The 13,921-nt window shown below is 36.7% G+C and overlaps 1 protein-coding gene across 25 annotated transcripts in view; it reads left to right on the top strand.

Annotated features, from left to right (window-relative positions):
- The window catches only part of LRRC4C (leucine rich repeat containing 4C), a 1,345,454-nt gene that overhangs the window by 1,216,465 nt on the left and 115,068 nt on the right, over positions 1–13,921 (top strand). For 12 of the 25 annotated variants that reach the window (XM_017018077.3, XM_017018072.3, XM_017018070.3 and 9 more), the window contains one exon: positions 1,590–1,669. The exons of the other annotated variants lie outside the window; for them this stretch is intronic. The gene's annotated coding sequence lies outside the window, so the exon portion shown is untranslated. The remainder of the gene's footprint in view (positions 1–1,589; positions 1,670–13,921) is intronic. 25 annotated transcript variants of the gene reach the window in all.

Genomic DNA, 13,921 nt, shown 5'->3' with positions numbered 1-13,921 from the left:
CTTAAAAGGGTATCTTGCTGTCATTACATTACCATACAGGAAATGGACCAGAGGTCCTGTTATTCCAGAAGCCACATTCAAATGAATTTGACATTAATTTTCTAGAAATATTGGAGACAACATTAATTAATTGCAAAGGCACATACAGTTATTTGGTTGCAGAAAGCAAGAAATGTATGTTTATTTGTCATGCATACCATGAGGAGCTTCAAAGAATATTTTTTTTCAGACTGGAATAAAAAATCTTATTTTTACTCTTCTCATTCCATATTCTCTTTTTAGTTAAGAGCATGCCGAAAACATTCTATTGAATTGCTTCTTTGATGAACACTTGGGTTGTTCAAGCTTGTCATAATAGATGACAATAATAATGATGCTACTGATAACAGAATTGTTTTTTTTTGGATGATACACTTTTTTCTAGAATTTGTATCCTCTGTGTTGACCACATTGTGTTTGCAATTATTTAGGTACAGACACTAGCTTTCTTTATATATTAAATGCTAATAGGACCCAGTGTTTCAGGTTCACTTGTGTATGTCATAAAAATGAACCGAATCCATTAACCTCTGATTTAATGATTGGCTTAATTACTAGGGACTTTGGCAGTACCCACTTTTACATACATGATATCTGGATACTGCCTTGTTATTACATTTACATCTCCTAAACCATTTAATGAAATTGGGTTTAAGTCCAGATGATCTCTCAGATTTTATAAACTTAAACCATTCCCCGACTTTCTGATTTTCTGCTAGAAAGCAGTAATAATGAAAAGGAGAAAAGGGGAAAAACATAAAACTCATTTAAAAAATAAACAAAAGCCATTTCAAAGATACTGTCCCATACAAGAATGAAGAAAGGAAGATAAGTAAATGTAGTTAAAGCATGAGCCGTGATCATCACACACTCTTCATTCAACGGCTGAATTTGCCTTTTAAAATTATGCATACCAACTCTTTGTGTATTAACATAATAAAATTGTAATGCAATAAGAAAAAAAACATTTCCAAAAACACCAGAGAAGTCCAGACGGCTGATTAAAAGATGCTAAAATGTACAGCTCGCTGGAGACTGGAGTTCCTTTTTAGGTTGATTTTGAAGGACTTGTCCAGGCAAGGAGCCTTCCAGGAGGAAATGCATCCTTGTCTGGGGTCCAGTCAAGGGCTGGACTCCCAGCTCCCCAGTGAAAAATTTCTCTAGGAGAAATTCCTGAAGCAGGGCCCAGACAGAAGGAGTCACCAGATCCTCAGAAGGGGGAGGAGATGATTTACTCTCTCTCTGGTCTGATTTTCAGTTGCAACACTTCTCAGGCAAAGAGCATGCCAACAGCCTTTCTCTTCTGCTTTGCTTGTCTGTGGTGGATACTAGCAACCTATGTGGTTCTAAAGTATCAAGCTGAGATTATAGTATCAATGAGTTGGAACATCAATAGTGCCAAGTGCCATTTAAAAATCTTTTCATCTTCTTGTGTGTTGCTTTTGGAGAGGAAATGTTTTCAGATGTGGTTTCTAGCCTTGCAGAAAAATGGCATTTTCAGGCTGTATGGGACTCTTACATCATCTAGTTTCAATCACCTCATTTTGCAGAGCAAGAAACTGAGAGTGAGAAAGAAGGGACTGGCCAGAGTTACTCAGCTAGACAGTGACAGACAACAGTGGAACTTCTGGTAAGTTGTGTGGCTTCTGGGCTTTTCCTTCCAAATATAAAAAATGGAATGAGGGATAGGCTTAGATAATCTTTTAAAGGTTTTTTTGTTCTAATACTCTACTTCTGTTATTTATTTATTTATTTATTCATTTCTCTGAGACAGGGTTTTGTTGTGTTGCCAAGGCTGAAGTGCAGTGGTGCCATTATAGCTCACTGCAGTCTCCAGCTCCTGGGTTCAAGCAGTCCTCCCATCTCAGCCTCCCGAGTAGCTAGCACCACGGGTGTGCACTACCATGCCTGGCTAACTTTTTATTTTTTCATAGAGACAGGGCTCTTGCTATGTTTTGCAGGCACTCCTGCCTCAAGCAATTAGAACTCCAGGCTTCAAGCAATTCTTCCCCCTCAGCCTCCCTAAGTACTAGAATTAAGTTACCCAGACGATTTTTAAATTTTAGACACCTGTCCATTATTTCATAACCAAAAGGCTTTTATAAAAGTAACATATTTTTATGCCTAAACAACAGCGTTGAGACATTTTGATGAAGCCTAAAGTTTTAGTTAATATTTTGCATTGTGTAGAGATATTTACTTTAGAATGTGGCCTAGAATTAGGCTAAACACTTTGAAAATGTGCTCTGGTTTTGAAAATGGTTGACAATTTCCTATATTACATTCTAAAACTATAAACATCCTAACACTATAAATGCTTTCTTAATGAAACTATAATATATATTTAATATTATTACCTATATTGTGTTACTCATTACTAAAAATGTTCAGATCACATAAATGACTAAGGCCAATTAAAAAGTCATACTGTAGAGGACAGAAATGCCCATATAGGTTTTAGTTAGTTGAAAACTCCATCACTTATAAGCATAGATTAGGTTTTTCTTTTTCATTTCTTCAGCAGGCACATTTTAGACAAACTGACAGCAAATCCATTATGTAATGGCCACTAAAAAAGCTTTCATCAAGAGTGTGCATGTTTAGTGTCTCTGTGTGGGAGAAACTGGGTTATGGTAGTTGAAAAGGCAAAAGATTCAAGAGTAAGATAGGACTGGGCTTTTAAGTTCTGGGCTTCATGGATAATGCAATCAGAATTCTCTAATCCTGAGGTTGGAGTGTTGGTTGACTATAGACGGAAGCTGTCTGCGTCTTCAAACCATTAGACATGGAGGTTCTCAGATATTTATTTACATAAGTGACATGTAACAAGTTATACATGATGATATTCACAGGAATACCATAAGGATCTAATGATATAATGTGAATGAAAGGTATACATTCTATACACTGGAGAAATCTTTTTTCTTTTTGTGTTACATTTTAAAACAAATGGATGCCTGGAAAGACATGGAATGTTAGAGGACAGGGTGCGAAAAGCAAATAGTTTTTTTTAATAAAGTTATGGTTTAGAGCAAAGAGACTGCCAGGAAGCAAATGAAATATTGATGCCAGAATATCCAGTATCCACGCTTCTTAAAAATGTTACCTATGTATGAGTCACTTGGAGATAATGTTAAAATGCCAGTTCCGATTCAGGTTGTCTGGGGGTGCGTTCTGAGATTCTGCATTTCTTAAAAGCTCGCACGTGATGCTGATGCTGCTGGTCTTTAACACTTTGTGTAGGAAGGTTTTATGTCTTCAGATTAAGGGTCAACTGAGTATCTTTTCAAGAAGAAACATTTGTTGGGGTTTATATGCCAAGGCAGTATCATCCAGCCTGGCTAACACCCATCTTGCTATACCATAAAAAAGCTTTCTACCCTTTCTGGGTTTATTATTAAGTGTTGAGAAAACATTCGGCTTTTACTGTTTGGCTGGGGTTTCTGGCTGATAGCAGCAAGGTAGGAGTTTAAATTTAACAGAATTAGGAATAAACAGGATCTAGAGAGACAGTCTATCCATTACTAAGGGAGAAGAGTTGGTTTTTGTCTCTTTACAAGGCCTTATCTAATAGAGGTCTCTGAATGCTGCATTAAGAATCTTGGATATGTGATTGGTTGTCTTAACTATCTTTTTCCTTCACATATTGCACATTTACATTAGCTTGGACCCTTCAGTTTCCTAATACAAGTATGAACAGGAAGAAGCCATGTGAGATTTCCCCCTCTTTTCATATTTTAAGTTCAATTTAACAAACATACACTGGTTAGTAGGTTACAAAGTAGTGGACGAGGCACTCTGAGGGACATGAGGATCAAAAAAGAAGATAGGTTCCAAGTACTGTCAGTTTACCTATAGAGGATACGGACATGAAAAATAACCAAATATAAGGCAGTTTGAGCTTAAAAACACTAGATTTGGGGGAAAATATGCTTAGAGAGCTGAAAGAAATTGAAATCAGTTCTGCTGGGGAGTTAGGAAGACATTGTAAAGGAAGAAGACTTTGAGTAAGGATTTAGAACATGGTTATTTGCACATAGAGACAGCAAATACTGAGACCAAGTCTTTGTCATGTTGTAGGTTTGTAAACAGAGAGCAAAAGCAGAGACATAGGTTAGAGTAATTTAAGTAGTACCATGTTGAAATTTAAATGTCGTTCTTTGGAATTCAGCTTATACCCTAGGTCTTGTATGGGACTGTTACCGATAATGGATAACATTTTAAGGCAGTGTTTTTCTGCATTTATCAACTGTTGATTTATTTTTCTACTGGGCCTAGTTCTCTGGACTGTGCAGGAGGGAAAATCACCTTTTATATAAACATACCTCCTTAGCAAATAAAATACAGCCTTTCAGCAGGTATATGAATAAGATAGGGGAGAAGAAAAATGATTCTGAAACCTCTTTAAAATCTATTTCTATATTAACTCTTTTATACATTAGATGTTCCTTCTTTGCAACTCTTAAACTCATGTGATAAAAATTTTCTTATCTCTAACTTAGGTGAATTTACAATTTTCTTTCAAATAAGTGTTTTCCATGAAAGTTACACTGGAGTATTGGCTGGTCATAAAGAAGAAATGTTTTATATCTTTCCTTTGATATGCTGTGCTTAGCCATTTTTTAAAAAATGATTCTGCTAGGCTCCTCTGAATTCTGATTGTCCTGGATGGTGCTGTTGCCTAAACAGAACGGGGCTGTGGTATTATCTGGTATTACCAAAGTCAAAGCAACCTGAGGATCAAATGTAGACAGAAATGAGGATAGCCAAAGAACATTAGCCATTATCCAATTGAAAAGCAGGTTTGGGGCCAAAGTCAGAAACTGAAATACATTCAAAACTTACAGATATTTAAGAACATGTCAGGAAACAGTGGCTAGAGCAGGGCTCTGTTGAGGAATTACAGTGTGGGGTATTTGTTTTTACTGGATATTGATTGTGTTGGCTGAGATGGACTTAAAGAGACAAGAAGTGATTTGCAGATATCACTCCCATCTCTTTTGTTGCCTACCCTTGGAAGATATTCTCTTAAGAACACCAATAGCGTGAAACCTGTGCTGCCGTACAAATTTTGGATCCCTTTGAGTTCCACTGAACAAAGCAGTGTACCATTTGTGCTGAGTTTGTTGTCAATATATCCGAATTAATTCAAATCCAGGAAGTGCACAGTGTTAATTTAAGTCTATGTGACTCTGAATTTTTTGTAAACTCTTTTCAGCGGTGGCTGTTTGCAGATCACTTTGCAGCCCTTCTCATTTGTGCTGTTGCTTATCCTTCTTTCACTTCTCTCCGTTCCTTCTCATGCTCCAACTTCGGTGGTATAGGATATCGTGATATTATTTTGATTTTTGTCAAATCAGACTGCCAAATCCAAATTCCAGGCAATACTCAAACTTCAAGGGCATAGATATTTCATACTTATCAGGGTTTTCACGATTATCTAGCATTTATCTTCATTTTTTAGTTTAAAAACAAGTAAACAACTAAACAAGATATTGAAAGGAAATATGGAGGAAGATAGAATGAAGGGTGGCAGAATAAGAGAAAGGGAATGAGGAAATTAAACAAACATTTATTGGGTGCCAACGTATACCAAACACTTTGCCAGATTCTTTATATACACAATGCTACTTAATCCATACCGCGACCTTGTCTTAGGGTTGTCATTGGGTTCACTTTATCAGTGGACAAATAGAGAGTAAGAAAGATTCTAATCAGAGGTCCAAGTCATGCAGGCACTGCCCAGCAGAGCTGAGGCAAGACTCTGGACCTCTAATGCTCTGTACCACCAGGCTGATAACTGCAGTGAAAGTGCTGACCTCTCTTTTTCACAAAGTAGCTTATACTATGCCAAGATAAGCAATTTAGGTAAAAGGCAGAAGAAAGATGAGAATTGGGTAAAAGTTACAGATCCACTCCCTTCCAACTAGATTGCACTTTTCATTCACTTTGGACCTAACATATATGGGCTGCTTTATGGTGGCAATAATATTTTTATGTGACTATGACCTGTCTGTGCCTTAGTCAGCAATATGGACTTGTGATGAGTACACCCTGAGCTATTTAGTAGGTTGATATATAGTCTGCTCATGCTTAATATGCAGAAATTGCTTTTTAATATAAATCAAGATGACTGTGTTTTTTTCTTTGTAATCCATATCTCAACTTCTGTGTTACTAGTAAATGGTGTTCTCAGCTCTGCACATTTGTTTTTAAAGAGCTACATATTAAGCACTTACTTCATACTAGAATCTGTGTTAGGAGACACATTTGTCAGGACAGTCTGAACTCCGCTGTGATAATATATAAACCTTGAAGTCTTGGTGGATTAACACGACAAACATTTATTTTTCTGTGTATGCAGAGTCTACTGTGGGCCTTGCTGTTCTCCAGGGCAGCTCCCTCTCAAGTCCTGTGTCAAGGGGCTAATCTGCTTCTATGTTAATGGCTTTGCCATTCCAACATGTGGCTTCCATATTGCTATTACAGGGAAAAAGAGAGCTGGGGGAGGGGGGTGCCTCAGGGACCTTTTTTCTGCCTTTCCCTAGAAGCGACACACTATATTCTGTTCATAATCCTTTTGTCAAAACAAGTCATCTGGCCCCACCTAACTGTGAAGGTGGTGGTGAGGAGGGTGCTGGAATGTATAGGTTTCTCTATGCCCATGAAATAAAGAATTAACAGATACCAGTTAGTTCTACTGATATATCATAAGCTCTTGGAAGAACAAAGATTGAATCTTTAAAAGTTATTTGCTTCCATGGGAACTATGCAGTCATATGAGGAAAATAATAATTACAGAGGAGTAGTTAGGGCTATATTACAATTTGATAGGACCTATAGCTCCTTAAGCCAGCAGCTGCTGTTCTCTTTAGAGAGTTCCTTTTTCATCTGAAATAATTGACTTGAGACTTAAAAACGTCTGTCTTTTGTGTTCATGCTGTTTGCTTTGTTTTCTTAAATATTAGAGGTCAAAATATGTTTAGAAACCAAATCTGGGTCTTAGAGCTTTTTTCCTGGAGCAGTGGCCTTGTGGTAGCTGTTTTTTTTTTTCATAGGCTGAAGAGGATTTTCCATGCCCACTGTGAGCCGTGACTGGCAGAATGAAGCTGCGCACCCTGGTAGCTCTTTCTCTGTTGGGCACTTGTTCTTTATAATGTCTCAGCATTTATTACTGGCCTGGGCAAATATTGAGATAGAGTTCTGGCACTGGCCATATAAAGCAGCAAAGCATAGGCAATTGAGTAAAAATAAGAATACAAATAATAATAATAATAAGGCCATGCAAATATATTTAGGTTTGAGAGAATGAACAGATCCATGGAATTGGGTTGAAGATTGTATCACACTAGAGATTCTAGATATTTTCTTCTTGGGTTTGGTACATATGTTTCTGTTAATACTTTTGTATTAAAAGATAATTGGTAAAGAGCTACACAATTAATGAGTGTCATGTTGATATGTATGGAGGGAAGAATAAAACCTGAACCATTTTTTGAAAGTTTTTCTTATAGTGAAAACACTTTTCACGACTTGTATCTTATTTATAACTGGAATATGCCTTATCCATACACTTAGGTATTTGAGCTTTTACTGTCAAATATTTTCTTTCAACAATTTGTCACTGTGCCTTGATTCTCAACTCCCATCGACTTTAAGGTTATATCCATATAATAAGTTTGCTTTGACATTTAGACACATATTATGACCTCTAAGTAAATGTTTTCAGTAAATCTGGAGAGGAAGTATGATAGTTTCTGGAAATTTGAAGATAAACTAGAAAAGTAATCTGTGAAAATTACACAAATAATAGTTATGCTAATAATATAATCAAAAACATTAATTGGGCATTCATTATAATCCAGCTATTGGGCTAAATGTTTTACAAGCATATTTTTGTTTAATCTGCATAATTGTGTGAGACAAGGACTATTATATCTGTCTGATCTTTCAAAGTTAGCCAAGAATTGTCCTGCCACAAGATAGTTAAATGATTTCTAAATGTGTGGATAATCCACAAAACCAAATTATAACTAAGGAAATTGCTGCTTAAATTCTGTTTTTTAACTTGCATGAAGATAGTCTATTTTAACAAAAGTGCTGCAATCAGGGTAATTGGAAACAGAGATAAAGCAGTGGAAATGTGTTTAGTTTTCATCCAAAAGTATCCAAAGAAAAAATCTGCTACTTAGTACGGTGGTTCTCAATGGGGAGAAACCTTGTGTCTCTACCTATAGGGCATTGGGCAAAGTCTAAAAAAAGTTTTGATTTTAGGCTTTTGATTTTAGACTGGCACCTTATGGATAGAAACTAGGGATGTGCTAAACACCCTCTAATGCACAGTGTAGCCCCTACAAGTAAGGTTTTTTGTTTGTTTTAAGACAGGGTTTCTCTCTGTTGGCCAGGCTGGAGTGCAGTGGCACAGTCATGGCTCGCTGCAGCCTTGACCTCCTGGGCTCAAGTGATCCTCCCATCTCAGCCTCCTAACTAGCTGGGACCACATGCGTGTGCCAACATATCTGGCCAATTTTCAAAATTTTTTGGTAGAGATGGGGTCTCACTATGTCACCCAGGCTGCTCTAGAACTCCTAGGCTCCAGTGATCTTCTTACCTTTGCCTCCCAAAATGCTGGGATTGCAGACATGAGCCTGGTCTGAGTTTTATCCATTCCAAATAGTCAGTAGCACTGAGGTAGAGCTTGTGTAAAACATCCTTCTCTTACTAGATAGGTGAACTCTTGTAATTAAGAGCTCAGTCAGTGGATCTGGGGCTCGGGGTTTTGACTCTGCTACTTGACTTTGGGAACTTAACCTCTTAAGTCTTAATGTAACTACTTATAAATTGGAAATAGTGATAATACGTACCTTACAAGACTGTTCTGAAGACTAAATGAGAGAATTCTACAAAATGATTAGCATTGTGCCTTGCATTGTTAGATGAACTTTAATTCTAGCTGACAAAAAAAACTTTGGTTAAACAAAGTATGTTCTTTGGGGACCCTTAAATACTGCTGCTTAGCAGGTGTTAAAAAGAGCTGCTTCCAGATCAGACAGCTTTATTTTGAATCGTGTCTCCTGTACTTGTTAACTGTATGACCTTGGGGAAGTACCTTAGAACCCTCTGTGCCTCACTTTGTTCATATATAAGATGAGTGTAGTGAGTAATGTGTATCTTCTAGAGTTTTCGTGAGGCTTAAATAAGAGTATAAATGTGAAGTACTTAGAAGGATGTCTACCACTTACAGGCAGACAGTGTTAGCTCTTATTATTCATATACCTAATATTGTTAGATAAGGCATAACATATAAATTAATCTTCAGACCAAGTGAACATTACCCCTTCAAATACCAGTCCTATGTTTTAACAATTAAAGTAATGAAAATCACTTTACAATTATTTTTAAAACTCTTGCTTATTTAAAAATGAATACTAAATGCTTTTAAACATGTCATTGTTCACTCAAGGTCCTTGTCATTGTAATATTGTTTCTTGTACTAGACTATGATATAGGAAGCTCTTAGAACAATTGAAGTATGAGGATTTTTCTTAATCCAGATTACTAAGACTTTTATTTTTGTCTTTTTTAAAAAAATACTGTTTTTGTATCATTTGCATCAAAATATCAGCTCTCTGCGTCTAGGATCTCTATCTTGCCTTTTCTAAATAACTGTATTTGATCAGCTGATTAACAGTATTTATTGAATGTGCTATATACTATGCTCTAAGAGAGCATATATTGTTTTGGTAGATTAGCGACCAAAACAAAATGATTTTTCTTGAGGATTTTGATTTAGCAGAAGTAAGCATTGATGACATAATGCCAGTTAAATAACTATAAATTTAAATGTGATCTATGCTGTGACTGAGCCATCGCAGTTGCTATACTTATGGACAAACCCCACTCATGTAGGACACAAGATAGGCCTTCATAAGGAATTGATTGTTAAGTGGAAATCTATAAAATGAGTGGGCATCAGCAAGGCAAAGAGAATGAGCATTACAAGTCGATGCAACAGTATATTTAAAGGTCCTGATTCCAGAGTGGGAGGCATTAAAATAAAGGGATTTTTAAAAGTCTAGTGTAGCTAAAGACTGAAAAACAAAAAATCTAGTTGAGGAAGCTAGAAAGATAGCCAGGAGCTCAATCAACCATGGGCTTCTAAAGCATGTAAAATATTCCAGACTTTATCCAATAGAAAATGGCAAGCCAACGGAAAGTTTAAGCTTCTGAATAATATGATAGATCTTCATGTGAAGAATGGCTTGGAAGTAGGAAAGAATCGAGGCAGAGAAAACAGAAAGCGTCTGCAGTAGTCCAGGCAAGATGTGATGAAACTAGTGAGAATCCTGTCTGTATTAGGAGTAAACAGTCTCTGAGAAATGGCACCTAAAAAATCTCCCATGAGAGGAGGGATGATATTTAGTTCATGAACTTGGAAAATTTTATTTTCACTGTTTTGGCTTTTTAATCTTTTACTTGTTCTTGGCCACATTCTGAAGAATTGCAGTTGATGAATAAGCAACTTCCAAAACAATGAGAAGAACAAATGTACAGCAATAATAAAAAAATAAATGTTATTTGTATAGTACTTTAAACATTACTATTGCATTTGATTAGCAACTTTTTATAACAAGTGATGTTTACCCTTATTGTCCCTAGCAAGTGACTATGGTCCGAGTTGAGGTCTCTTAATTTATTGGCAGTAGGAAATGCTTATTTCATACGCCTTGATGCATAACAGGAAACTTTGTCTTGTCTTACAGAGGTGGGTGAAATTGAGTAGAAGTGATCTTTCATTTTGTTATTTGCATTATGTGAAGAGAGATATAAAAATGTTGACTTTGGCCAGGCATGGTGGCTCATGCCTGTAATCCCAGCACTTTGGGAGGCCAAAGTGGGTGGATCACCTGAGGTCAGGAGTTCGAGACCAGCCTGCCCAACATGGCGAAACCTCGTCTTTACTAAAAATACAAAAATAGCTAGGTGTGGTGGCAGGCAACTGTAATCTCGGCTACTTGGGAGGTTGAGGCAGGAGAATCTCTTGAACCCAGGAGGCAGAGGTTGCAGCGAGCCCAGATCATGCCACTGCACTCCAGCCTGGGTGACAGAGCGAGACTCTGTCTCAAAGAAACAAACTACCTAGCTAAAAGACAAAGTTGACTCTTCTGTTTCCATTTTTAGCCACTAGTGTCTTGATTAAAAATACACAACTTTTGTTTACCTATGTAACAAACCTGCACATCTTGCACATGTACCCCAGAACTAAAAATAAAAATTGAAATAGAAAAAGATACAAAACTTTCAGTGTTTAAATAAGGAGAAAGTTAGCTATATCTGTGCATGCAAATATGTTCTATGTGAAATATAAACTGTGTAAATATTAAATATGTATGTGTGTATACACACACAACCAGACTATATAGGGTCTTCAGTGTCAATATTTAGATAACTGAATGTTCATTTTAAACATCTATAAACCTGTTTATATGTCTAATTCTAAAATGTCTGTGTCTATCTAAACCACTTCTAAAATAGGTATAAAAATATCTTAGGGTTATTGGGAGAATTAAATGAGATAATTTAAAGTGATTTAGTACCTGGCACAAAATATGCATTTAATAAATTTTAAATAGGCAGATATAATTAAAATATAGTTTTCATTGCATATTGACTAGTTTATTATAAATGTATATGTTGATAATTTAATGTACTTATATGTGTATACAAATATACATATATGGATATCTATACACTATATTAGCTATTGATTATTATAATAAAAATAGTTGTGCGGTGATATTCAAAATGACATATCATCTTACAGCCAATTTTGATAAAATTTGTTAGAGTTTGCATTTTACTTTATTTCTGTCCTGGGGAGTTACTGTAAATCTGAACGTGAATGCTAGTCGTGAAGTTCGTTTGTTTTTTGTTTTCTTATTTAAGAGACAAACTGTCACTCTGTTGTTGCCAAGTTTGGTCTTGAACTTTTGGGCTCAAGACATCCTCTCACCTCAGCCTCCAGAGTTGCTGGGACTACAAGCATGTGCCACTACGCCCAGCCATGAAGTTCTGACTCCACGTGTACTCATTCATTCCTTGTTATTTAAACAAATATTTACTGGAACTCTATTCTGTGCCAGCCCTTGCAAATCTTACAGTCTGATGAGAAATGAACATGAAAGCAAATAACTGCAATAAAATGGCATGAACACTGTGCAACACAGTGGCCTTTTAAAGTAAGGGGCATCTGCTGCTTTAAATGGCATATGGTTAATTATTATGGACATATTTGTCTATTGTTAAACTAAATAGAGAAGACTAGAAACTAAATAGAGGAGCATTTCTTTCTAAGCATCTATATTTGATTCATCCTTTTGTCTTCATCTACCACCTACATGCTGCTGATGACATGCGAATGATTATCAGTAATTGCTATCACTTTCTCTTACCCCAGATTCCTATTTCCATCGGATTTTTGGCAATCTGTAGGTAGATGTTCCATAGATATCTCAAATTCATTCTGCTTAAAATAAATTCATTGTGTTCCTACTTCTCACAAAAATTGTTTCTTCTCCTATGTGTCTAATCCCTGTTAGGTGTATCATCACCCACAAAATCACCCCAACTGAAGTCTGGGAGTTCTGATCAATGTTCAGTGCCTGCCTACACCCTGCTGCTAATTGGTCATCAAATCCTCCTCATCCCCTGCCAATTTTCTTCTTCTCCCTCTTGGGTAAACATGTGCATGGTACACACCCCTTATACCCCAAATTAGTGGGATAAGAAGGCAATTTTCAAGTTGCTAGGCAGCAGCAGTTGAAGAGAAAGCTCAGAAAATTAAGTCAGTGACTTGGATATCAAAAGCTATCACTTTGTTGTCCCTTTTTCTGAAAGTAGAAAATGTTTCTTCTCTTTAACACGAAATAATAAATTTAAATTCTATTGATCTGTGAACTTCAAAAACAACCTCATACATATCTCCACATTGAGCATTTGCTGAATGTCTCTGTCCTTTCTTCTCTTCCATCACTGATATTTAGTACTTCCAAGGGGAGTCTGAGCTATGAATCTCAGAGTCCTTTTCAAATCTCTGACTGCCAAGGATGTGGATGAGAAATTAGTACTGCAGTTTATGTTCACGGAGAAGTATGTTATTCACTGAGATTCATCATTGGAAAGAAATGACTGATATCACAAACATCACGATAATAAAAGATATCATAAATTAGCTCTGATCAGATTCTGAGTCTCTGAGTGTTCTCAAAATTTTCTTCTGGTCCACAGTCTTTGAAGAGTCATTTATTAACTTATAAGTGTAAGGTGCAAAACTATCTGGAGCATATCAGGTCTACAGTATGTGGTTCAGCCAGTCCCCCTTGCAGGCTTTAAAAAGAAAATAAATCAGTGAGCATCTAGGTCCCAAAATCTAGGAAAATGTTTCAAAGTTCCTAAGGAAAATATATTGGAAGAAGAAATGACAGCTTTATTTTATCCTTTTTTCATTTGTATGTGTTTTGTAAAATAGTTTGATATCCTGACAAATATGTGGGCTGCTATTAATATTAGCCATAAGGGCCAGGTGTGGTGGCTCACACCTGTAATCCCAGCCCTTTGGGAGGCTGAGGTGGGTGGATTATTTGAGGTCAGGAGTTCAAGACCAGCCCGGCCAACATGGTAAAACCCCGTTTCTACTAAAAATACAAAAATTAGCCAGACCTGGTGGTATGCACCTGTAATCCCAGCTACTCGAGAGGCTGAGGCAGGAGAATTGCCTGAACCCGGGAGGCGGAAGTTGCAGTGAGCTGAGATCACGCTACTGCACTCCAGCCTGGGCAATGGAATGAGACTCCATCTCAAAAAAATATATATATATATTAAC

The sequence above is a fragment of the Homo sapiens genome, chromosome 11, assembly GCF_000001405.40.
Source record: "Homo sapiens chromosome 11, GRCh38.p14 Primary Assembly".
Classification (NCBI taxonomy): domain Eukaryota; kingdom Metazoa; phylum Chordata; class Mammalia; order Primates; family Hominidae; genus Homo; species Homo sapiens.
The sequence above is the reverse complement of the archived record's forward strand: the minus strand, read 5'-3'. Positions and strand labels throughout refer to the sequence as shown.